The sequence below is a fragment of the Homo sapiens genome, chromosome 11, assembly GCF_000001405.40.
Source record: "Homo sapiens chromosome 11, GRCh38.p14 Primary Assembly".
In the NCBI taxonomy this organism is placed as follows: Eukaryota; Metazoa; Chordata; class Mammalia; order Primates; family Hominidae; genus Homo; species Homo sapiens.
In genome coordinates, this window is record NC_000011.10 from 3,141,075 (window position 1) to 3,165,678 (window position 24,604).

Consider the following 24,604-nt stretch of genomic DNA (forward strand, 5'->3'; position numbering starts at 1 on the left):
CCAAAACAGGAATAAAAACCACCTAACAACAGAAACAACGTCAACCCATAAAGCCTCATTCCAGGCAGTTTCGAGTGCTCTGATGCTGACAGCCACCCAGGCTTCCCCCCGCCCAGCAGACAGTATCGTCATCATGTGTGATGCAGGGAGGGCACAGGAGATGCCACCGAGTCGTGATTGCTCCTGGACAATGCACAGCGTCCTTTGACCAAGCGCCTCCTGCTCACCCGGGAACACACCCTCGGGTCCAGCATCCTCCCTGTGACTCTGCATAGTGGGAAGGACGTGGATTCTAGAAACCCCTCCTGCCCCAGCAGGCAGGTCCAGCCCCGAGGCCTCCTTGGTTCCCCTCAGAACAGAGCTTCCAGAAGGGCCCCCAATCTGTCTCTCAGGAAATGGGGGGGGTCTCAAACAGAAGGACCCCCAATCTGTCTTCCGCTGTGGTGGAGAGCTTGCCAAAGTGTTCAGGAAATGGCATTAATGGGGTCCATTATGGCCCGAGTTGCGCAGAGAGGACAGGGAGGGGCTGGATTTTGCTGACCTCCAAGGGGAACCCTTCTATGAACGGAAAGCTCGCACCTCGCTCAATGCATTGCCAAGTTGCGATTCTCATGCATCCCAGTGCTTTGCCGAGGTGCCTACGCCACCCTTGCATGTGTGTCCTCCCCTGGGCACAGGATGCTAAATGGGGTGACAGTAGGAACACCCACCCCCCACCCGCCTCCCACCCAGTGCAGGGACTGGGAGGACTCTACGCCCTGGAAGGAAAAAAGACTGCAAGAGTACAAATGCGCCATTTTCCCACTTTCTCTCCATGTTACAGTTGCAGTTTCTTTTCTTTCTTTTTATTTTTTTTGAGACGGAGTCTCGCTCTGTTGCCCAGACTGGAGTACAATGGCACGATCTTGGCTCACTGCAACCTCTGTCTCCCGGGTTCAAGCAATTATCCTGCCTCAGCCTCCCGCGTTGCTGGGACTACAGGCACCTGCCACGATGACCGGCTAAAATTTTTTTGTATTTTTTCAGTAGAGACATGGTTTCACCATGTTGGCCAGGCTGGTCTCCAACTCCCGACCTCAAGTGATCTGCCCTCCTCGGCGTCCCAAAGTGCTGGGATTACAGGCGTGAGCCACCGTGCCCGGCCGACAGCTGGTTTCTGAGGCCAAGAGAAGAAGCTGACTCGCCCAGGGCCACACGGCAGGTTGGTGCAGGAGGTGCTGGGCCCTGGTGCCACCCCAAAGTCCACGGGGCTGCCCACAGCTGGGGGAGTGCAATGCCCAGATGGTCCAAGAGAACACTTTCTGGGCTGCTGGTCTGTACAACTGGGAAGCCCCTACCTCTCCACCACGACCCCTCCATGCCCTGCTGCCACAAGGGCCCAGGATCCCTCCCCACTCGCTGCTCCGTGTCCCAGGAGGTCAGATTTCACCCGGATGCTTAGCTCCCCTCCCTTTTTACAGATGAGGAAACTGAGAATGAAACAGGAAAATGAAATGAATGACTCCATCCTACAGGTCTGAGAGTCACCGTCTCGCGGGTGGAGAGCCTGGGTGGTGCGTTTATCAACAGGACCGCTGGTTTCATGTCTCTGTCTCTCCTCATAGACCCACTCAGGTGGAGACCTGTCCCTCTGTCTCCGTGTCCGCGGGGCCCGGCAGGAAGTCGTGTGCAGGGGTGGAGGCTGGAAGACCAGCAGGTCTCCCTTCACCTGGGGATCCCCGAGCCCCATGCAGCCTTGCGGGTAGAAGGGCAGTGACTGCCCACTCCTTGCACACAAGGAAACAGTGAGACCAGAGGAAAAGGACAAAACCAGTCACCCAGGACAGCGGACGGCACACGGGGTGGGGGTGTGTGAGCAGAGACCCTTGGGACCCAGCATCTGGGTCTGGACGGTCCTGGAGCCTGCAGAGCAGGGCAGAGGAGGCAGGTGCAGAGGGGGGCAGAGGAGGCAGGTGCGGGGGGGGGCAGAGGAGGCAGGTGCGGAGCGGGGCAGAGGAGGCAGGTGCAGAGGGGGGCAGAGGAGGCAGGTGCAGAGCCGGGCAGAGGAGGCAGGTGCAGAGGGGGGCAGAGGAGGCAGGTGCAGAGCCGGGCAGAGGAGGCAGGTGCAGAGCCGGGCAGAGGAGGCAGGTGCAGAGGGGGGCAGAGGAGGCAGGTGCGGGGGGGGCAGAGGAGGCAGGTGCGGAGCGGGGCAGAGGAGGCAGGTACAGCCCAGTGCGTGGACCAGCGACCGGCTCCAGGGGCCCATGGGGGGCTGCACTGTGGGCGAAAACGCACGGACGCGACACACCCAAGAGAAACAAGCACACGCCCCCAGGTGGTCCGCGCACGCACGCTCCCAGCAGCATGGCTCAGGGCCATCAGAGAGCGGACACAGCCAGACATCCACATGGGTGAACGGATAAACATGGATCACATCTGTGCAACGGATGGAAGAACATTCGGCCTTCAGGAGGCAGGAAGCACGGCACTCACACATGCGACGACACGGATGAGCCGCAGAGATGCACCAAGTCAAAGAAGCCAGATACCAAAGGCCACATCTTGTCCGCTTCCACGCCCACGCAGTGTCCAGGACGGGCAGGTCTGGACACGGAACGCAGACTGGTGCTTGCCAGGGCCCGGCCCGGTTCTGTCCCGGTTTCCTGGGGCTCTTTGGGGAAAGAGCATGGGCTTTGGAGTCCACTATGACTGGAGGCTGACCAGATGATCCTGGAGCCCTGGGCCCTTGGTTTGCTTTACTGCAGCCCAGGGGGATCCTCCTAGCTCCTGGCCGTGGTCATAGCTGAGCAGGGCCCGAGGAAGGCACCCGGGCTGCAGTGCACAGCAGATGCTGTGGAATCGACAGCTCTTGGGATCATCCTGTGTGGTGGGAGCTATGGGGTGGACACTGGGTTTGGGTAGCAGGACAGAGGGTCGATGGCCTCAAGTCACACTGAGTCAGGCCTGGCGGGGGCCAGCTGCTCCAGCACCCACTGAGCCCGGCAAACCTCGATGGCTCCTCCCATCCTCAGGGGGTCCCACAGCCCTGAGACCAAACACGGGTTTATTGTTTGTGAGGTGGTTCAAGCAGGCTGCATCAGGACAGAAACACACAAAAAACCCAACGCGGGTGGAAGTGACAGGCAGGTGGGGACAGAACATGCCCCCTCCTCTGCAGCTCACACTCTGGGGGATACAATGAAACCGCTGACAATGAGAGCCCCAGGGAAGTGGGGTGCCATGGTGCCAAGGAGCAGTGTGAGGTGCCCTCGACATGGTAAAGCCCCATGACGGGGAGCTGGAGTGTGCAGAAACGCTGGCAGCGGTGGACTATGGGTGACCGATGCTGTTTCTTTAAAAAACAAAGTGGAATTTCCATAACTCTTCACATTCCCATCAATGCATTGATCATGATCACAGCCAGCAGCAAACCCGCCAGGCTCCGTGGCCGGGACCAGCTGACCTCTGCAGGGGAGTGCGGGCTGGGCCTGGCCTGACCCCGTTCCACCGACACTGAGACAGCAGACACCGGCCCCAAATTCCACCACCTGTGACTGGCTGAGCAGCCACACACGTGGGTGGTCTGACTTTGGGGACACCCCATGTTATGCTGCCTCTTGGGGAACATTTTTATAATGGGAAAAACATGTCCCCCTTACAAATCCTGCAAGCCCGGGGTCTGCTGGAGCCAACCCCCAGTCCCCCAAGGCGTCCCCACGCTCAGGCAGCCACCCTGGCGGGAGGTCAGGCCTGGGGCCAGGGCAGCTCATTCCCCAGGACCTGCGAGAGCCACCCCCCGGCACCCGGATCCTCCAGGATGGTCTCATACCAAGATCTTCAGTAACATCTGTACAGACCCGGATTCCAAGCAAGGCCACATCCACAAGTACCTGGGGTTAGGACCTGGACACATTTTTGGGGGACGCTGTTCAGCCCATTACAGGCAGCTTCTGTAGCATCTAGCCCAGCGGAGGCCTTTGGGGGGCAGCCTGGCTCTTTGCGACTCCCCACGGAAGGGGCACTGCGCTCCCCTCAGCCACAGGAGCCCATCCCTCCCGCTCTGCCTGGCCCTCACGCTCTCTGCGTGCACCTGGGCTGGCCCCGTGCCCGCCTGGATTTGACGAAGCCCATCAACTTGCCCCACTGCCTCCCATCGCCTGTGGCAGAGCCACCTTTTCAACCCCGTCAGCCCCTTGATGAACCTCCCCCAGGGCTCCAGCCTCCGGATGAAGCCTGGGGCCCTGCCCCTCCCTCCACCACCAGCTGTGCCACCTCAGCAGGGCCCACAATTCTGTCACACTGGCAGCCCCTGCAACCAGTCCCACAGGCCAGGCCACTTCACGAGCCCCATTCCCTTGGTCACATCCCCTCCTCCCGGGCCAGCACTGTCTCCCACTGCCCCACAGCCTCCACTGAACCTTCTGGAAGCCACCCCTGCCCAGCGAGTTGGCACTCACTTGCCTGCTGTCCTGGCCATGATGTTCTTGGGGTGGGGGTTTGGCCTCTTGAGGGCTGGGAGACATCGGACCCGGCTGCAGTCCCAGTGCCGGCTGAGACCCACACACAAGAGCAGGGGTCTGCGCTGGGGGCTGCTTCCTGGAGGACATTCACAGACTCGCACCCTCAGACCCCAGACCAGCAGGGCCAGCGAGGCATTTACAGCCCCTGTGCAGTTTACAGATGAGAAGAGGGAGGCCCTGGTGGGAAGTGGGGCCTGGCCGAACAAGACCGGACCAGAACCCCGGCCTGTCGCCCTCAGTGGTTGGCAATGGGCACCTGGTAGCCCAGCCTGCGTTCACTTAACTTTGTTACCTGGAGGAAAGTCACAACTCCACGACACTCCTAGATGACTCTGGGTGGGCTGAGGGTTACAGGGACACTGGTACATCCTCCCGGGGTCACAATCGGCAAATGTGCTCTGAACACCACCCTCAGCTGCCGTTCCACTTGCGGATGGGAGGATTCACCTGGGGGCCCCTCCGCCCTGCCGGGAGCAAGCCAGACCCAGGGGCCTTGGCCCCAGGAGCCCACAGAAGCCGAGTGTCATTTCTATTCCAGGCCCTTCCATCTCACCAGATGCTAGGGGTACAAAAGAAAAATAAGCCAGGGTCCCGCGGCCCCGTCGGAGCTCTCAGACCAGGGCGGGCAGACCAGCGAGACAGACACACTGCCCTTATGAGCTGCGCCCCCACCCCCAAACCCACCTCTGGGGAAGTCTGTTCTTTCCTGCGGGAAACCCCCAGGGCGTGTGGGACTCTTTGAGGAGACAGAGCTCACTCCGGGGGAGGTGAGGGCAGACGAGGAGGGGAACTCACGGGAAGGTAGGAAAGGGGTCTCGTTTGTGGATTCCTCTACAGGATTTGGGGGTACCTCTGAGAGTGGGGGACGGAGAGAATGCAGGTGGAGATTCTGGCCTGAGGAGAGGCTGGGTGGGACGTGGTGGTCAGAAGCCCCCTGCCTGTGGGCACGGCTGTTGGACCCTGTCACGGCATGGCTGGGACGAGGCACCCGGTGTCTTTCTGGCACCCGGTTTCCATCGCACCCGGTTTCGGGCACTCCGTCGCTTGCCTTCTGCAGAGCTGCTAAGCCGCTGGGCACACAGCTGTGCCTGAGTGCAGGGGGAGAGGCCAGCTCCAGGCTGCAGGCTTCTCTCTGGGGAGGGGGACAATCCTGGGGCCCCTCTGGGGTTTGGGAGATGACTGAGTTGGCCTTTGTACAGCCTGTCCCGAAGCGGCCTGGCACAGGGCAGCAGACTGCAGGGTCCCTGGCAGCCAGATCCCCTTCGCCGTGGCTGGAGCTGGCGTTTCTATTTATGATTCGCCTCTCACGCCCCTTCCCAGCACACCCAGCTCTGGTCTTCACGAGGGGCTGGGATTTTAGAGGTGGCTCAGCTGAGGGCACGGGGGCCTTGGCAGCTGTCACGACCCTCCTGAGCTAAACGCACAGCCCGCACCTTGTTAGCTCTGGGTGGGCCGAGGCCCCAGCTCTGTCCTGGGATCCTTCCCAGTCACCCTCACGTCCTGGGCTTCACTTTTCCCCAAGGCAGAACCACAGCCGTGTGACTCACCCCGTCTCAAGAGGACCGGGCGGGTGGGAGGGCTGCAAGGCCTCTGTGAGGCCTGAGTGCTGGACTTGGGACTCCTGCTCCAGAGTCAGGGGCTAGGGCTGGGCCGGGCCCACCCAGGAGGATGCTGGCAGAGGCCCTGGGAGGAGGGGGAGTGGGCGCCAGCTCCAGGACTGGATGTGTCTGACAGCCTGTGTCCCACAGGGCTTGCCATGGGCCTGGGCACGGCTCCTGCCTCTGCTGGCCGACCTGGCTTGACCTCAAGCGGCCTGGGTCGGGACAGCCGCAGCCGAGGCCAGCCCATGGTGACAAGGCCTGCTTCCAGCCTCTCCCTCGTGCCCCAGGCTGTGGGTCAGCCCAGTCAGCCCTGCTATGGGCACATAGCCCCGTGCAGGCCCAGCTGGGACGGAGCAACGCAGGCAGAGCTGCACTGACCTCTCCGGAGTGCCGTTTGTGAACTCGAATCGAGGCGCCAAGTGCTCACGTGTCCTTTAAGCCAGGGATGGACTTCCAGAAATTTACCCTTGGGACTAAAACCCCCTGTAATCAATATCTGCTGGAAGAGAGGCGGACGGCTGGCAGAGGCATTTATGGGAGTGAGCGTGTCCAGGGACGCGTGGGTGCGTCGGGGCAGGGAAGGCCGGGCGTGGCCCTAGACAGGGCACAGGGGCATGAAAGGCGCTGGGGAGGAACAGGACCAGCCTCGGCAAGTGGGAGTTGATGCGAGTGACCCGGGCCCTTCTGTCTCGTCTGGGTCTCCACCACCAAGAGCCTGTTCTTGCGACTGAACGCCCACCATGGCCCTGGCCTCACCGAGCTGCCCTCGGTTCCCAGGACCTCTGGGGCCACTAGCTGGGCTCCTGCCTGGTCACTCTCCTGTTCCTCATCCTCCGCACGCCCCCGGCACCCAGACTTGGCACACTGGCTGCAGAGGCTCCCATTGCATGGTGCAGACAGCTCTCCCTGCACCCCCAGTGCCCGAACATGGAGTAGGTGCCAGTGAATGCCTCCTGGGGGAGTCTGACCACGATGTGTATACAGTACAGCCGGGACTCCCCGGGGAGCAGGTCGGAAACCGCACCTGCTGACTTTCTTAGTTGTCTTTTGGGAAGGTGGGCTGGACCCCACTACATACTCCCCAAGGTCATGAGGGGCATCGGGGTGGGATCTTCCAGAACCTTCCCCATTCCTTCTACTATCCAACACTGACATGTGGGCCCCCACCCCTGACCTGGGGAGGCAAGGGCCGAGGAGTCAGGGAGGGTGGAGAGGAAGTGCCCCTCCCATGACACGTACTTTGCCCCCCACACCTTCCTGCTGGCAGCCCTGAAGGCGGGTAACAAGATGGAAGAACAGAGGTCACAGAAGAGAGAGGAACGGAGGTGAGTGCGGAGTCTCTTTCCAGCGGCTGTCCAGGTGGAGGAGACGGGGCGCTGTCTGGAACCGGCTTCCATGACGGCAGGGCGGGGGCACCGTCCTCTGCACTTTTGTACATCTTTGACATTTTCTATCATACGAAGCCAAACGGGAGAGGACACAGATTTCTCTTGAAGGCACAAACTGAAGGGAAATCCACTACCCAGATGGAGTTTTAAGAGGAGAATTTTGGAAGAGCCTTAAAGCAGGAGAGGAAATTGGCATGATAGCAGCATTGCATCTCCCAGAGGGAGGCTAAGGGTTTTTAAGAAGGCAAAGGTGACAACCAGCTAGATAAGAGGCTCAAACAGGTGAAAAATCAAGTAACCGGCACAAGATAAAAGAGGTTATTAAGATAAGGGGATTAAGACTCAGGATGAGCTGGAGAATTCGCAGAGGAGCTGAGTAGCCTCTGCTGTGGGTTGGCAGGGGCCGGCCAGGTCTCCTCCGTGGGCTGCAGCCTCCAGAGAGCATGGACCCCCAGAGGCTCAGAACCTGCCCCAGCCCTGACCTCCCCACTGGGCCCACCACAGAGCCACCTTTATATATCAGCTGCCAAAGCCACCTCCAGGCCACTCCAGCCCTGTGTCTTAGCAATAGCCCTTTCCAGAGGCTTCCAGCCTTATCAGCTTCCAGCCTTATCAGAATGGCTCTCCCACTGTCCAGGGCCCCCCGAGCGTCCACACCACCACGCTGGAAGTCCCCAAGGCCGGAATGCAGCAGAGGCCCGGGTCAGGCCCCCCAGAGCTGTCTTCTGTTCCTACAGGCATGGGCTGGGGGGGCAGTCGCCCTTTGGGAGACCTCCCAGCACCCCTACCCTATCTGGTGGCCAGGAAAGGGGCAAGATCTTGCAGTGTACTGGCCTCTGGTGAGGGAGGCAGTGAGTGCTGTGACTGTGGCTGACCCTCTTGCCAGCATCCTCCCTGTCCCCATCAACATGACCAGAGTGCTTGCCGCTCCATGAGCTTCCCCTGCCCATGTGTGCCTGTGGCAGGGGTGCCGCCCGCGCAGGCCGTGGGGACAGTTTATGCGTCAGGCAGCAGCAGCAGCAGGTGCCCGCTGCAGCCTTGCCCAGGCTCTTTTGATCTGATTTGGTCCTCACGGTCGTCCTGGGAGGCAGGTCCTATCAGGACATGTGGTTTCCAGCACACAGCGGTGCTCCCCGAGGCCCCTGCGCCCTGTCCCTTCTTCCTCTTTGATCATCAAACGACCCCCCCGTCACTGACCAGTCAACGGGTGGTCACCGCCCTGGCAGGCACCACGTAGCCCGGGGCACAAGGGCCAGCTGTGGCTGCTGGTGAGTGTTCCCTGTGTGCCAGGTGCTGACATGCACGAGTGTGATGGTGGCCTTGCATTCCTCTTTCATCCTGACTGCTCACCACCCCCTTCCCAGGCACACACACACGGATGCATGGACACACACAACCACATGCATGGCACACACACATACACATGTGCACAGATGCATGCATGCACACACATGCATAAGCAGACAGATGTGCATGCACACACACACAGACACACACGTACACACACACAGCAAATCAGGATGCTGAAGCCAACCAGCAGCTGTTTCCCCTGTTGGCATGGCTGCCGCTTCCCAAGAGGGCACTGTTGCCCTCCTGCCCCAGGCAGGAGGCTCCAGGCTAAGGACTGCATGCCTGAGTCTGAGCCAGTACAAAAAGGCAAGTTGCCCTCGGGAGCCAGGGTCCCAAGTCCCCGGGGGGAGCAGACGGTGCTTTTCTCCCCCTCACTTTTTAAAGACAGCTTTTTTTAAAAAAAAAGTTTTTTGGTTCCCAGGTAAACATGTCTGATGCAACCACAGGCCTGTCCCAGGTTGTCTTCCGGGCACCTGGGACCAGGATGCAGCCTTGGGGAGGAACCCAGCAGCTCCTCCTCCTTAGGGAGGAGCCCAGCAGCCCCTAGGTGGGCACGTCCCACCCGTCCAAGCTGGGCTGCCATGTCAGCAGCGTGCAGACACCATCTCAGGGGCAAGACAGGGGTCAGGAGGCCAGGGAATCAAGGTGTCCTGCCCCACAGACACAGAGGCCAGCGGCCTGTGGTGTCGTGAGAGCTCACTGGAGAAACATGCCTCTGGGGGGAGCAGAACTCTTCCCTTCCCCGGGGTCTCCCCCGTGGCCACACCCAACTTTCATTCCCAGCTCACTGCTGACAGCCTGGGTGTCCCAGGCAGCTCCTGGTTTCTTGGAAAGCCTCACTATTCTCATCTGTGAAATGAAAAACCCCCTGCTCCCTAGAACTAAACACGACTGTGATCACGCACGCCTGCATCTGTGATGTCATCCCCATGCCCCAGAATGCCACCCCTGGTCTTTCTACAGGTTCCGATCCTAGTCCGTCTTCCCAGGAGTCACGGCGGGCTGCCCGCTGTGGCCACCCTCTCCCGGCGGTGGAGGGTTGAATTGTGTCTTCATGAAAGGTGTGTCCAAGTCCTAACCTCAGTACCTGTGACCCTGACCTTGGAAAGAGGGTCACTGTATGGGGTCCTCATCCAATGCCTGGGGTCCACGTGTGAAAAGACAGGGGAGGAGACACAGACAGGGGAGAACGTGCCGTGAAGACAGAGGCGGAGATCGGAGTGATGCCGCCACGAGCCAAGGAACACCTGGAGCCCCTGGGAGCTGGAAGAGGCAGGAAGAATCCTCCCCCAGAGCCTTCGGAGGGAGCGCAGCCCTGCCGGCACTGGGATTTCAGACTTCTGGGCTCCATCACTGTGAATGACTCTGTGTTGTTCTAAGCTACCTAGTTTGTGGTCATTTGTTATGGCAGCCCCAGAGCACTCATGCCCTGGGTACAGAGCTGGGAGCAGGGAAGGGCCTGGCCAAAGGTGTGAACGCCTCTTCCTCAGCCCCTCTGCCACCAGCATGAAGAAACTGCAGAAAAGTCCCCACTTCACACAGCAGGTGACCAGACAGACCCGGCATCAGCCTGACCTGGCCGCTTCCTGCCAGCACAGCTGTCTTCCCCACTCCCCATGTGCTGGGGGTGCATCCAAACCGACCCCTGCCCTTTTTCCCATGAAAAGCCAAGGGGTTGAAGATGAAGCCTCATGTACCTTTATTTCCCCCACGGCACAAAAAAACGGTTCTTACACCCCTCTGGGATCCCCGCTGAACACACTGTCCTGGCGTTAATCCAAAAAGAAAACCGGTGACTCCTCGGAGAATGGTCCATGACTCGGCAGATGCCAGTCTGCCCCGTGGGAAGGGGTCTCCAGGCAACACAGCCACGCTGTGCTGGGAACCTGGATGGGCCCCGTCACTGGGGTCACCTTCTCCTGCCTCCCTGGGGCGGGCTTTGCAGCCCCGACAGCTGCCTGTTCCTCCGGCTGCTCCTGGAGAGGGGCCCGTTCTCAAATCTCCTGGAATTGGCCACTGAAGGCCCCCCTCTGCCTCTCGAGCCAGCTCGGAAGTGTGCACGTCACCGAGGCTTCTGGTGACACCAGCAGTACAGGTGGCCTTCACCATTAGGTCACAGTGAGAAAGCGAGGCCTTCTGCATTCTCTTCCCAGCCTCCCGATTACATCAAGGGACAAGAGTATGGGTCTTTATGGTGGCTCTGCCCCTGCTCATCTCTCTATTTAAGGGAGGCAGGGTGGCCCTGGGGGCAAAGCTCACAGCAAACAATGTGAGTCCATGTGGCCAGGGCACACAAAAGCTAACATGTAGTCAGTGGTTCGTGTTCATGGTGCGTGTTTTCATAGTTACCTGCAGTTTATCACAGGTGACGTTGATTTTTTAACCGCAGCAATGATTAACACGTCTTCTAGGTATAAAGGTACTTCAAAAAGAAGTGAGTTGATTTATTAAAGATCTAGGTCTTAAATAACAGTATAGGTGACACTGGATTGCCAAGGTGGTCTGCGCACACTGAAAGCTGTTCTAAACATGCCAGAAGCTGCTCAAAATGTGGGGCCCACAGGAGAAGGCTCCTGTGTTCCCTTCTCCTGTGGGCAGGGACCAGGCCTTGGTTTTCACCAGGTCCCCTTCCAGGGATCCCATGTGGAACAGCAGCGGGGGCCTGCAGGATTATCGGGAGCGGCCTGCGAGGCGCGATGGGCTCGGGCTCAGGCGAGGCACGCAGCGCCCCTAAGCCTGGCTCTATCCTGAAAGGGCACCTAAGCGTGAACAGAGCCGGTGCCTGCAAAACCTCCAGGAAGAGCTGGGTGCGAGTGGGCGTTTGATACACGCTGCTGGCTGTCAATACCGTGTGATCCACACTGGATGTTGAGCGAGAAACAGAAGAATGAAGAACACAGAAAAGTAAAGAGCCCTCTAAACAGCCCAATCAAGCATCATGGAATACCACGTGCCAGGTCTCATTCATGCCTCGCTGGTACTTCCCGGGTCCTCCTGCCGCGTCCGTCCGCTCCCGGTTTGCTCACTTTTCTAACAATCTTACTCATCTGGTTTCCTAGACAGCAGTGGGCGGGAATGAGCATTGACAGCCCCTCCAACAAGGAGAAGAGGAGGAGTCTGGGGCCATTGAGTACAGGGAGAAACAGCCCACAGAGTGCAACATCCCCCAGGCGCCAGGGGGTCCCGGCTACGAGGTGAGCTGCTTCCAATCCCAGTCCTGTCATGTAGCGGTGGGTGACTCTGGGCAGGTTTCCTCACCTCTCCGAGCCCCAGTGTCCCCACCTGTAAAATGGGGACAATAATAGAACTTATGGCATAGGGTTGTTTCAAGGGTTAAAGGAGATAAGTCATTCCAAAAGCCTCCATAAAATACATGTTAATCATTATCAAAATTAGCTGTTATAATGACACAAGTCAGCAGGAAGAGGGTTCCAGTGTTTCTCATGTAGACCTCAAGGTTGCATGTAATGCATTTTGGGATATGCACGGAACAGGGCAAATGTGTTTAAAGATCTGAGCCTCCATGGGAATAAGCTGCTCTTGTGTGGGAAAGCCCCCTCTAGCCTGAAGATGTGGCTGCCTGAGGTCACAAATTCCTGGGGCTATTCCTGCTCTGGCAAGCTGCGGGGGCTGATGACGCCAGCACCGTCGCTAGGGCTGAGGCCCAGGAATAATGAATGGCCACAGCCAGGAACAGGCGCCCACCAGAGACAAACAGCATGTTCCTTGCACATTCAAAGCAGACACAGTTTAAAAATAATGAACAGGGCGGGAGGACAGTTATTCCTGAGGTCATTCGTTAAACCTCAATTTCAAAACTGACCACAGGCTCAAGCTGCCGGGAAGCACAGCCCCAAGTTGGCACGACTCCCGAGTGGCCCACCAGGCCCGGCTGCGGGTGACGGGTGGGTGTCCACTATGGCTGCTCAGGAGAAGCCTTTTGTTTTCATTTTCTTTTTTGCTACATTTGAAGTTCTTCTCAGAGCCCTGGATAGCAGAGGCTCCATATGAATGCAGCCCAGATAAGGTGGCTGCAGCTGGGAGCCCCGGGGTTACCGGCTCCCCAACAGCGCCGTCAGCCCCGCACACACAGCAGGGAGCCCCAGGGCAGGCCCGCAGCCCCCAAGGAAGGTCTGTGCCCGGGAAACACATGGCATTCAAACCGCCGCTGGTGTGTGGCCCCTTATCCACTCTCCCTGGGAGGAAAGGCCCCGTGTGGTGTCCAGAGAGCTGCTGTAGGAGGTGTTTGCTAGACTGGGCCAGAGGGCAAAGGTGAAGGGGCGGCTGACACACTCCAGCCCACAGATCCTGGCCCAGGATGCTGGGACCTGGAGAGCACGGCCCTGCGTGCAGCACCTGCCAGTAGGTAGCAGGATGTGTCGTAGAGGGCTTGCTGACCCCAAACATGCCGAGTCACCCACATCCTGGCCTCCCCGCCCACTTTGCCGGTGGGACAGAGTGGCTGACGGCGTGTGGCACAGGCGGGGTGAGCCCGGAAGGGTGAGCATGCGCCTGCTGACGCTTCGTTCACCAAGCGGGGGGCCTCTACAGCTCGCCCAGGTTCCAGCTGAGCCAGGCCTCTTGGGAAGGCGTAAAACAGTCAAGATTCAAGCAGGTGAAATCTGAGAACACTGCACACACTCATGGGTGCGGAAGGCTCTGATCACATCAAAATCTTACTCCGGGCAAATGCTGGGCCCTCACAGGGGATAAAAACAGAACCCACTGACGAGACGCCTGGCAGTGCGGGGGCCCCAGGGTTAGTCTGACTGCTCCACTACCCATGGTTATGGGCTAAATGTGTCCCCTCAATCCATGTGTTGATGTCTCAGCCCCTAGGACCTGAGAAAGCGGCTGTACTTGGAGATGGGGTCTTTAAAGAGCCCCCTATATACCTAATGTAAATGACGAGTTAATGGGTGCGGCACACCAACATGGCACATGTATACATATGTAACAAACCTGCACGTTGTGCACATGTACCCTAGAACTTAAAGTATAATAATAATAATAATAATAAAAAGAGCCCATTAAATTAAAACAGGTCATTAGGGTGGGCCCTAGTCCAATCTCACTGGTGTCCTTATAAAAAGAGGAGATGAGGACACAGGCACACAGAGGGATGACCCTGCAAGGACACAGGGAGAAAGAAGGTGGTTATCTGCATGACAAGGAGCGAGGCCTCAGGAGAAACCAGCCCTGAAAGGCCTCGATCTTGGACTCCAGCCTCCAGAACTGAGAGAGAATCAACGTCTGGGCTGCTTAGTGGTGGAAACCCCAGCAAGCTCACACACCGGCCCAGGAGGGCCTTCCTAGGACAGTTGGGCTACAGCACCAGCTTCCTTGGGAAAAAGGGATTTCTCCCTTGACACATCTGGAGGTGCTACAGGGACCCTCTCCAGGAATAATGTCCGGCACAGCCTGGCAGACTTCGGCTCAAATCTGCCTGGGCCACTTCCCAGCTGGTGACCTGGGGTGATCCCAAGCACCGAGGGGGGATGGGTGCCCCAGCTCTGCCACTCACCCCAGCTCTGCCACTCACCCTAGCTCTGCCACTCACTCCCCCCAGCTTTGCCACTCCCCCCAGCTCTGCCACTCACCCCAGGTCTGCCACTCACTCACCCCAGCTCTGCCACTCACTCACCCCAGCTCTGCCACTCACCCCAGCTCTGCCACTCACTCCCCCCAGCTTTGCCACTCACCCCAGGTCTGCCACTCACTCACCCCAGCTCTGCCACTCACTCACCCCAGCTCTGCCACTCACCCCAGCTTTGCCACTCATGTCTGAAGTGGCCGGATGGCCAGGGCAGCAGCCACTACGCCGACAGTTCACTTCCATTTAACCCAGCTTTGTGGAGATGCCGCGGGTCTGGGGCTTGGCTGGTATTCCCAAGCCCCGTCTCCCCGTCTTTGGCAAGGCCACACACGTGTGGTTTCAGCAAGGGGTTGCTGTGCTGGAACCGGCTGTGAGCAGACCTGCAGAACCTCAGCCGGACCCCACCCTTCCCAGGCCCTCAGTCTCAGGCTCAAGCCTGTGTTTCTGGTTTTAATTAACAAAATGTGTTGGTCACTGAGAGGCCCTGGCAAACATCTATGTATGGTGTGTCCCCTGGGGGCCAGGATTCCTCCCACAGCCCTATGCTGAGGCAGAGTAAGGGTGGGGGTAGGGATGATTCCCTCTGGGACAAGGGGGAAGGGAAGGGAAGTCAGCACTGAGCACAGGAGGGACCAGGCCCCATCTCGCTGGGCTGCTGACCCCACCCCAGGTCAGTCCCCCGGGAGAGTGCCCTCGGCCGTGCCCAAGGAAACCGGAACGCTTGCTCCAGGGATGGAATGGAACTACCAGAATGTCCTTCCGAAGGATGGAAATCCGTGTGATTTATGTACATAAAGCAAGGAAAATGTACAAGGAATACAGAACCACACAGACAAGAAGAGGTTGCAGAGGGCGGTCAACTACTGTTTTTGCGACTTCTCTGCGACTCTAACACGATCAGAAAGAAGGATGTGAGCGGAAGTCAGTGGTCACGTGACATCTGTCTGCATGTGTTTATGGATCCATCCATATATAGTAAAGCCCAAAGCCCGCCTGGGAGTGTGAGCCTGGAAACCCAGGATGGCGGCTCTGGGGAAAGAATCGAGCTCTGGGGCCCTCCCTACACGCAACTTGTAGCTGCTGAAAGACGCCTAAAGCAAATACAAGCCAGGTGCCAGGACCTTGACGACGCTGGGGTTGGTTCTGTTATTCTGCATGGTTCCCGTGTTTAGATCTTTCACAATCATTCATTATGCATAAGCGTTTTCATTAACGATATAGGCGTGATAGGAGGCGGCCCCTCCCTGCTCTGAGAGCCCATGCCACTTCCACACAGGCCGAGGGCCGGCACCCACGGTGAGCTGGCTCATGCTCCCACCACGTCCCGAGGCACCTCCAGGAGACTGGCCCTGCAATGGCCCATTTCACAGACGAGGAAACTAAGGCCTGGGGCTTTAAGACTTGCCCATGGCCCCACACAGGGTGGGGATTCCCACCTGCTTTGCCAACCGCTAAGCCCATGCTCCAAGCACTGCACCCCGTCCACAAGGTCAGACGGGCCACTCCTCGGGGCCCCCAAGGGCAGCAAGCTCCCAGTTCGCACAGGTCAGAACGTGAAGGATGCCTTTGCAGGGCGGTGCTTACGGCCCAGGGCACCTGGCTTCACGCACTAATGATCAGAGAGCCGCGTGCCTCCGTGCAAAACACCCAGGCCAAACACATGGGAGCAGACTCACGGCCCACGAGGGAGGAAAGCAAGCGGTGCTTCCCGAGCACGTGGGAAAAAGTGGGCCTTGCGGGGCCCAGATCTAAGGGAGTCAGGGCCGGCAGCAGAGAGACCCTGACCCGTAAAAGGATGGGAAGGGGCAGATAAGGAAGGAGCCTGGACTTACGAGAGGTCACCCTGATGAGACAGGGTTCCAGGAGAAGGTGACGTCCCCAGGAGACCCGGGGAGGCCAAGAGGGGGCCTGGGCACCAAGCTAGCTAGCCTAGATGTCTGGTGTCCCACTGGTACTGAGGCAGCACCCCGATGGAGGCAGGCTTTGCAGGCCTGGGAAGGGCCTGTGCCAAGACAGAGAGGGGCAGGAGAGCCCCAGCCAGCTTGACTGGGGTGGCTCCACAGGCCAGCCCTGTGCTCAGCAGGTGGGCGCCACAAGGCCACTTCCTGCCACCCACATCACTTTAGAGTGTGAGCACCCAGCAGCCCATGGAGCAGAGATGAAGGCGGCCCCGCCCTCGGCCGGCTGGGGACTGAGTAACTCGTTCTCCTCTGCTCACAACAATCAGATGAGCGAGAAACTGGCCCAGCCTGCTGGGCTTGCAGCAGCCGGAAGGTTCTTCTGGCCGTTGGTGGGCACCTGCCAGCAGGGAGGGTCTGGGCAGGAAAGAGCCACATAGCTGCACTTGGTGCAGGGACGAGGGTGGGGATTCCTGACATCCTCGACCACGGCAGCCGTGTGTGTTCAGCAGCACACTGGGGCCAAGCACCCTTGGGTGCCAGTCACCAACAGAGAGCACCTCTGTCCCCCTCTCTCTGTGAGCCTTCGTGGGAGCCTGGCTGCCGGGCTGGGGAGAATGACCCACTCTGGCACTGTAATGGGACAAACAACCAGGCCCTGTCCCGAAGCGGCCTCAGCCTCAGGTTTCCAGACGGGGCCCACATCCTGACGTTTCTAGGTGTTCTTCATGCTCCAAACTCTCCCAGCCTCCTGTGGCCAAGCGGCCTGCCCCGGCCTGCCCTTTGGGGACAGCTGTGCCGTTCCGAGGCAGAATCTAGGTCTCGGAGCGAGAGAAATCTGTGCTCTTCTGCAGGAGCTGGGCCCAAAGTGGAAACCCAGCATGGGCGCTGGAGTGGGCGAGGGTTCCCTTCAAAGCTGGCTGCTCTTTTCCTCTGCCCCAAGGAGATCAGAGGGTGCCACGTGGGAGCACGCGCTCCTACAAAGCACAAACGGCTCTTGGTGCCCACACTGGCACCTGCTTTTCCGACCTGCAGAGAGCTCTTCCTGTCCTGGCCCCAGGATGTGCAAGACAGCAGGGTGGAGATTTGTGGGAAAGTGGGGCGTCCTCGGCAGCATCAGGCCAGTCCACCGCCCCAGGACCAGCCATGGGGACACCCCACGTGCAGAAGCTAGACTCACGGAGCATCAGTGACACATGAGACCTCTTCTGGGCTGCACACTGGTGCATGGTCAGTGACACATGAGGCCTCTTCTGGGCTGCACACAGTGGTGCAGGAGAGAGGGAGGGAGGAAGGACGAGAAAGATTTCCAATCACTCAGTCTCAAACCTTTGAAAACTAGTGGATGCTTCTTTCTGCATAAAACCTGGGGTGCATCCTCAAGATATAAAACAGCTCAAGGAGCAGGAGCAGATGGACAGAAGCCCTTGGAGAAGCCAGGGCCTCGGGAGTGAAGAGGGAGCTCTGGATGTCCAAGTTCCCTTCTCGGTTCCTGCCGGGGTGTTGCCCGTGTGCAGGAGCCTTAGCCCCGCAGGTGTGGGGGTTGCGGGCAAATGTCAGGGATGGGGGTGCCTTAAAGATGGAGAAACTGAAGCCCAGCGAGGAGCAGCACCACGACCCTGCCATTCTTGGGGCCCCATTTCCTCCGTCTCAGAGGGGAGCCTGTCAGATGCTGTGAGCCCTCGGGCCAGCCACCCTCTGAACACAAGGGACAGCAGGTTGAGGGCACAGGCGAGAGTGTGCACGCACCCTGAGGCCACAGAGAATGAAACATGAGGGTCGGTTTCTGCCCAGGAGACAGGTATGTTCTTGAGGCGGGCGCGGGGAAGAGGTAGAACTCTCAGGTGTCCCTGGGGCTGGGGGATCTCACTACCTCTGTAGCTCGTCTTTGAGCATTAATGCTAAGTCCCAGCACCCCGTCCACAGCACCCCAGCCTCAGGGTAACGAGGCCTGGTACCTAACCCACAAAGTGCTCGCTGGTAGGGAGTGTGCAGGCCAGACACTAAGGCATTCCAGTTCTCCCTGGCCCTGTGCCAGGCCACTAACTGGATCCGCTGCACTCAGGGACACCATGTACTATGGTCCCTGCTCTACAGGTGAGGACAGCAGCCTCAAAGAGCCCAGGCCAACTGCTTCCCATGGACTCGCTGCCCCTTCACAGGTCAGGAGTCCCCTGAGACAGCTCAGGGCAGCCTGGGACCAATGCCAAGTTCAGGAGCAGAGGAGAGGGCTAGAGAGGTGGAGGGTCTGCCGGCAGAGACAGGGTGCACCTGGGGAGGGCCAGGGCCACGGCTGGGTGGGGTGGCCCAGGACTATCTGAGTCAGGGAGATGGTGGCTGGAGGGTGGAAACCTTTGACTGGCAGCCCATAGGGGTGGGGTAGGGGGTCATGCCAGTCACCCACACAATGGCTGATGCTCACCCAGCGCTTGTGTACAAAGACCATCTAGGGCCAGCCATGAGCCTCACTTTACAGACGGGGTAACCAAGGTTTAGGAGGCAAATAAACTCTGCTGACCCTGGCACCTGGGGTGAAGAATTCCGGCTGCGTCTTCCTCGGCTAGGCCTTCTGATCAGATCCGAGGCGGTGCCTGCCACCATCACCACCATCAATCTCTTAGGCCCAGCCCCCTCCCTGCCCTGGCCCCACCAGCCCTCCAGAACAGGGTCACATGCCCCACCCTGGTGCCTGCTGGCTCTGGCTTGAATTTTGCTAAATTTGGGTGACTTCCTAAGGCAGCAGGGGGTGGGGTGGGGGTGAGGTTCATCCTGTAAGGAGGGCATCTAGCGTTCCTGCCCCACGGGCCAGCGTCGGGGCTCCTCTCCCTCTGGCCAATGTGGGGAGCCTCCCTAAAGTGCTCCCCTCCCGCCCAGGACCAGGAGCTGCCCCAAAGCAGCACAGTCCAGCAAGCAGGACGCCTGGACCCTTTAAACAACCCGACTGCTGCGCCGTATTCACCGCAATAGGCGGGCAGGAGCGGGACGCACTGCTTCCAGAGTCCCGGCCCTTTAAGCGACCCACACTCCCCGCGTCGCATTCACCCTAATAGGCGGGCATACAAATGCCGTTGCCTGGAGCCGCAGCCCAGCGAATGGGACCCACAGCGGCGCGCCCTTTAGTTGACTCTGTCTTATTCGCCGCAATAGCTGATCAGGAGAAATCCCGCTGGCTGCCAGGAAAGGGGCGCGGAGATGCGGATGCTCCGCCCCAACACCACGCCTTCCTCTGCTGACCATCCCCAAAGTCCCCTTTAAATGACAACCCTCCCCCCCCCCACCCCGCCCCCACACCGAGCGCCGTATTCACCCCAATAGCACATCAATCCCTCCGCAACGCCGGGATACTGAGCTCTCCCTCCCCTGGCCGAGGAAGGCCCTTCCCCGCGAGGAAGCAGCTGAGAATGGGCCAGCGAGAGAAGGGACAAAGGCACGGGCGACAGAGCTCCCTCTGTGCTGTCCCCCAGCGTCTGGAGGCCCGTTCCCGCCTTGCTCAGAAGCACAGGGCACTTACCAAGGGGCCATCCGTGACCAGCAGTCAGGGGCATGCTGTCTCCAAGCTGGGGTGGTGCTTCTGCTCTGCCAGGTACGGCAGCGCTTACTGAAGGTTTGCCATCTCCCCTGGCCTTGGATGAAGGGAAGGCGACCCCAGGCTGGTCACAACAGGCAGCCTGACCAGCTGCCTGCCGAGGTGGGGTATCCCTCAAATCTCCTCCCTGTTTTCCACTTAAAATCCCTAAGAATGTACATATTTAGAAGGAATACTGTTCAGTTGTTGAGCCTCAACTTTCCCCTTCATCCTTGTCTTCGTGTCAGCAGGGTGAGAGGGGATCTATGGACCAGTTAAGTCCATCTGCATTCACCAAACACACTATTAGGCATCCCGAGGAGGTGAGACACCCTAAGGGCTCCATTCCTAAATCAGAGATGATGGGACTCTGGGAAGAGTCACGCCCTCTTGTCCTTCCCATCCTAGAGCATGGAGGAAATGAGCTGGTCACGTCCCACACCAGCCGATGCTGGTGAAACCAGGACATGGTGGGTGGGACTTGCTAGATGGGGGCAGCCAGTCTCAATCTACTGACCTCCCTGGGATGAGACAGTATGACGGCTTTCCACATGTGCCTCACTTAACCGTAGAACACCTACTGTGTGCCAGCCCCTGGGAAGAGAGCCCGGAGCAGACTTGCAGGCAACCGTGCATGGGGACAGACACCGCGCACCAGCGGCACCCACCAGGGACAGATGCCACGCACCAGCGGCGCCCACCATGAACCTGGCTTGGCCCAATCGCTTTCTCCATAGGAAGCCATTCAATTAAACAAACATGACCATTTCAGTATAAATAAAGAGAAAACAAAACACAGAGCTGAGAGCTGCTTTGGAATGGGTAACGGGCCAGGAACAGAGACTCTCTCAGAGAGGCAGCATCTGAGCTGGGACCTGAATTAGATGGAGCCCACCAAATGCAGATCCAAGGAGGGGCCGAAAGCAGAGGCACAGGCAGTGCAAAGGCCCTGGAGTAAGAAGCCGGGGCTGACGCCAGACCCCTGTGAGCAAGGAGGGGAGAGGGAGGGGAGGGGAGGGGGAGAGGAGAACAAGGGAAGGGAGACAGAGTGGAGGGGCATCTAGGGCCTGTGGGGTCTGGAAAGGGGTCAGGACTTACTGAGACCCATGGCAAATCTCAAAGGGCTCTAAGTGGTCAAATTACATGAAGTGGTTTATCTTTTTAAACACCATGCTGGCTGCTGGCTGGAGAAGGGCTAGGAAGGCCACGAAAGGGGAGCCTACTAGGTAGCTGATGTGGAGCTCCAGGCAAGAGCTGGTAGGGCCAGGAGGGGAGTGGAGGCCAGCCCTGGAGGGAGTAGCCGGATGTGAGGTGGGCTGGGAGGCCGAGCAAAGCATTTGCTCTCAGCCTGGGTGGCTCTGAGATTTGCAACAAAGGCCCTCTAGGAATTCTGGATCCCTCTAAGCCAGCCAAGAAGGCTCATGTCCCACCCCCTCCCCATCTCCCACCTCAAGCCCTGGTCCTGAGGACACAGCTGGTGCCCACTCCGCTTAGTGTAGATGCCAGCACAAGGCAATCTCACATCCTCGTGGACATGATCCCAGAGGCCCTGGCTCAGAACAACTGTGATGCTAAGAGAACAACGCGGTCCTTAGTCCAAGTCCTTTGTACTCGACCGCCAACCCTACCACTCTCCGGAGCAGCTTCACTATCTGCCCATACATCTCCACGGGAAAGGTTACCCAGCCGTGGCCAAGACCCAGCCACCAAGGCCCCAAAACCTTTAAAAATCTTGACCAGCCCAGGAGCCCCATCCTCAGGCTGTCAGTTGCCTCCTCAAGCTGCAGGCTCGGTAAGTCATCAAGCAAAGCTGGCATCGAGAACAATATTCTTTTCCTTTGTGCCGGTCACAAGCAGCATGAGGACATCCAGGGCAGCATGCCTGTCCCTGTCGGGAGGCCAGTGGCCCTCACTTGTACCCCCCAACATCTACCCCCCAGCACACTGGTGCACTCCCTGGGCTCCCCTGCCAACCCTGCAAGTGGTGGGCACTTCTACCCACCTGGCCCTTGGACTCCACAAGGGGAGCTGCACCTAACGGCTCCCTCCCCGACAGCTCCCTTCCTGTCAAAATGACCGGGATCCTTTTGGCACTGTGCAACCCTGGGCCTCGGCCCCTCTACAACCCCCTGTCCCGGAGGTCAGAGCTTCCAGCTCCCCAGGCCTCTCCGGGAGAACCCTGAGCTGGGTCCACAACATTTCTCAGCTGCGGTCACAGGCTCAGATTCACCTGTCCCTTGAACAATAAATGGGAATGGGGGCGGGGGGCACCTTCTGTCATCTTGGGTAAGTTTTCCACCTGCACACTGTGCCTGTATGTGTGCAAACGTGTGCAGGCTTAACCACAGAATCAGCAGAGAGCACCAGTCCCCAAAACACAGCTGGCAGAGACACACACAGCCCTTCCACCCGCCGGCTTGTCACAGAGTGTTTCTCCCTCCCCCAAGCGTTACATGTCAGATTACTATCAGCGCTCAGAGTGAGGCCAGGATCTCAGGAGAGAAACTGATACCAGGCATTCTCAGCATAGTAAATACAATCCTGGGTAGGGGTTGGGTGGGGGGGGCGGTCTTGCGTTGGTATTCTGTAAAGAGCTGAAAGCAGTCCTTTGAAGAACATGGCCTATTCATGGCCCAATCTGGACCCAGAAAGGAGCCTCCACTGGACATGCAGGATGGCTGCCCGGGGTTCGACATCTGCAGGGCAGCCTCTCTGAGACCAGGCCCAGGACTGCAGGTCAGAGGCTCCTCATCCGGCCTATCTGCTGTGTCACCTTTCTTAAACACAGCCTGGCAAGACAGACACACGCGGTGCCTGCCTCCTGGCACCCCAGGCCAGCCCCACACGCGTGCAGGCAGACAATAGGATCTGCAGTTCTGGAGCCTGAGACCAGAAGGGAGCAGCTGGGCACATGATGCCACCCCAGGTTGCCACAAACCTGCCCGATGCCTGCAAAGCCCCCACTCACCTGGCAGGTTCAAGGAACAGCAAGGCCCTGTGTACCAAGGAGGTGGGATAAAAACGTGCAGAGGGGCCTTACTCCTGGGGTTGGGGAGCAGAGTTTCTGTTCAGTCTGGGATCTGGATCAGCCCTGGTGCAGGCAGACCCAAGAGCATCTATCTAGGATCCCAAAGGCTGGCCCACTTCTCCAGGCTTTGGGAGGCTGTATCAGGTGGGGTGGGACCCTTACAGAAGTCTTCCTGTAAAAGGCACCTTGAAGAGACTGGGGCAGACACACAGAGGGGAGCAAGTTGCGAAACGGCAAGAGAGGAAATCCACCCAGCCGCTTCGGCGGGGCAGACCCGCTCAGCCCAAGGATGAGGGAGGGGCTGGGCTCAGCCCAGGGACGAGGGAGGGGCAGGTAAGCCCACCCTGTGACCCCTCCATACCCCCAGGAGTCACCCCAAACCCTAACTCCAGTTGGCTTCTGACAGGAGGCAGCCCAGCGGTCTGGGTGGGGGTTGGGGGCGGTGCCTGGGAAGCCCAGGACGGGCCTGTTGCCCGGGGGGCTGCAGACTCCAGCCTCCTTCCTGCCTGCCCCACCCTCCTGCACCCCGCTCCCCGGGAGGAATCTTCAAGTGCACAAGACCCTCTTGAGGACTCAGGCACCTCAACAATCCCTAAGGCTCCACATCTTCAGGGGGTCAGTGCCCCAGAGATGGGGGCTGTGGGCAAGGTCCTTCCCTAGCCTGTAATCCAGGCAGCCCCCTGACTCTGCGGACTCAGACACAGCAGTCCTCCCAAGCCCGCAGCTGGGACGCCAGACTCAGATCCCAGACCCCCTGCAGACCCATCAAGACCTGGCTCCTTGGAGCCCGCGTCGGCCGAGCTGGGGGGACAGACCCCCTGATTGGCCAGGGTTTGTGGTGGTCAGACCCAGCCACCTTCCCTGGCGGTCCCGGCTCCTTTAAGCCCCACCAAGTGGGGAGCCGAGCTGGGCGCGCCGCTTCCCACTCGCGGGCCCCACCCGCCCCAACCCGCCAGGCGCCGACCCGTCCTGGCCCGGGGCGCCCCCAGGCTCCCGCGCTCCCCAGCTCCCCAGCGCGCGACCGGCCCCGCGGCGTGGTTCCCCGCACTGGCTACTGCCAGGGTCCGCGGGGCTGCGGCGCGAGCTCCTGGATCCCTTCGGCCGGCCCCCCGCGGCCCTCGGTTCGCTCCGGCCCTGCCCGGCGGGGCCCTCCGGATCCTTCCCAGCCCGCCATCCCCCCGCCGCCCTGCCGCCCCCCGGGCCGCCGCGCTCCTACCTCCTACCGTGCCGCGAGCTCGGTGCTCCGGGCCGGCCGGGCGCGCGGGGGCTCCACTGGCGGCGCGGGCCTGGCTGCAGGAAATGCCAGCAGATGGTCCCCCCGCGCGAGGCGGAGCGAGGGCGCGGCGGAGGGAGGAGGCCCAGGGAGCCCGGAGGCGGGAGGAGGAGGCGCGGCGGCCGCAAAACCCGGGCCGAATCGCCGCGCGGAGCGGGCGCCCAGGGGCTGCCCCCCACCGGCTGCCGCTTCTCCTCATCCCCCAACCCCCCGCGCGCGCTCCGGGGCTCACACCCACCCGGGCGGCCAGAGGTCGGGACACTCCGCTGAAAATGGCCAGGAGGCTTGGCGGGGTGGGCAGCGGTGAGTGGGGTCAGCTTCGTGGGGTTCTCCAACTTAGGGGTGCAGGCCCCCAGCCCACCCTAGCCAGGGTGCGAGGCGCCTCCTCTCCCTTCCTGAACCCAGG

General features: G+C 59.8%; 1 protein-coding gene across 5 annotated transcripts in view, besides 7 other annotated features; it reads right to left on the bottom strand.

Moving 5' to 3' along the window:
• OSBPL5 (oxysterol binding protein like 5) overlaps window positions 1–24,236 on the bottom strand; it is a 78,204-nt gene extending 53,968 nt beyond the window's left edge. For 2 of the 5 annotated variants that reach the window (NM_001144063.2, NM_020896.4), the window contains exon 1: window positions 24,142–24,236. The gene's annotated coding sequence lies outside the window, so the exon portion shown is untranslated. Of the gene's footprint in view, window positions 1–19,843; window positions 22,843–22,865; window positions 23,123–24,141 lie in introns of those variants that run through there. The other 3 variants (NM_145638.3, XM_017017163.3, XM_011519873.4) reach the window with 3 other exon arrangements.
• Window positions 7,861–8,636: an enhancer, noted in NCBI's record as "H3K27ac-H3K4me1 hESC enhancer chr11:3170165-3170940 (GRCh37/hg19 assembly coordinates)". NCBI's record gives its function as "activates a minimal SCP1, AML or CMV promoter by ChIP-STARR-seq in primed H9 embryonic stem cells {active_cell/tissue: H9 hESC(primed)}" and the evidence as "EXISTENCE:reporter gene assay evidence [ECO:0000049][PMID:30033119]".
• Window positions 8,637–9,410: an enhancer, noted in NCBI's record as "H3K27ac-H3K4me1 hESC enhancer chr11:3170941-3171714 (GRCh37/hg19 assembly coordinates)". NCBI's record gives its function as "activates a minimal SCP1, AML or CMV promoter by ChIP-STARR-seq in primed H9 embryonic stem cells {active_cell/tissue: H9 hESC(primed)}" and the evidence as "EXISTENCE:reporter gene assay evidence [ECO:0000049][PMID:30033119]".
• Window positions 9,411–10,184: an enhancer, noted in NCBI's record as "H3K27ac-H3K4me1 hESC enhancer chr11:3171715-3172488 (GRCh37/hg19 assembly coordinates)". NCBI's record gives its function as "activates a minimal SCP1, AML or CMV promoter by ChIP-STARR-seq in primed H9 embryonic stem cells {active_cell/tissue: H9 hESC(primed)}" and the evidence as "EXISTENCE:reporter gene assay evidence [ECO:0000049][PMID:30033119]".
• Window positions 12,307–13,055: an enhancer, noted in NCBI's record as "H3K27ac-H3K4me1 hESC enhancer chr11:3174611-3175359 (GRCh37/hg19 assembly coordinates)". NCBI's record gives its function as "activates a minimal SCP1, AML or CMV promoter by ChIP-STARR-seq in naive H9 embryonic stem cells {active_cell/tissue: H9 hESC(naive)}" and the evidence as "EXISTENCE:reporter gene assay evidence [ECO:0000049][PMID:30033119]".
• Window positions 16,493–17,298: an enhancer, noted in NCBI's record as "H3K27ac-H3K4me1 hESC enhancer chr11:3178797-3179602 (GRCh37/hg19 assembly coordinates)". NCBI's record gives its function as "activates a minimal SCP1, AML or CMV promoter by ChIP-STARR-seq in naive H9 embryonic stem cells {active_cell/tissue: H9 hESC(naive)}" and the evidence as "EXISTENCE:reporter gene assay evidence [ECO:0000049][PMID:30033119]".
• Window positions 17,720–17,893: a silencer, noted in NCBI's record as "fragment chr11:3180024-3180197 (GRCh37/hg19 assembly coordinates)". NCBI's record gives its function as "represses an EF-1alpha promoter that drives an FKBP-Casp9 reporter gene in an ReSE screen in K562 erythroleukemia cells {active_cell/tissue: K562}" and the evidence as "EXISTENCE:reporter gene assay evidence [ECO:0000049][PMID:32094911]".
• Window positions 22,281–22,974: an enhancer, noted in NCBI's record as "H3K4me1 hESC enhancer chr11:3184585-3185278 (GRCh37/hg19 assembly coordinates)". NCBI's record gives its function as "activates a minimal SCP1, AML or CMV promoter by ChIP-STARR-seq in naive H9 embryonic stem cells {active_cell/tissue: H9 hESC(naive)}" and the evidence as "EXISTENCE:reporter gene assay evidence [ECO:0000049][PMID:30033119]".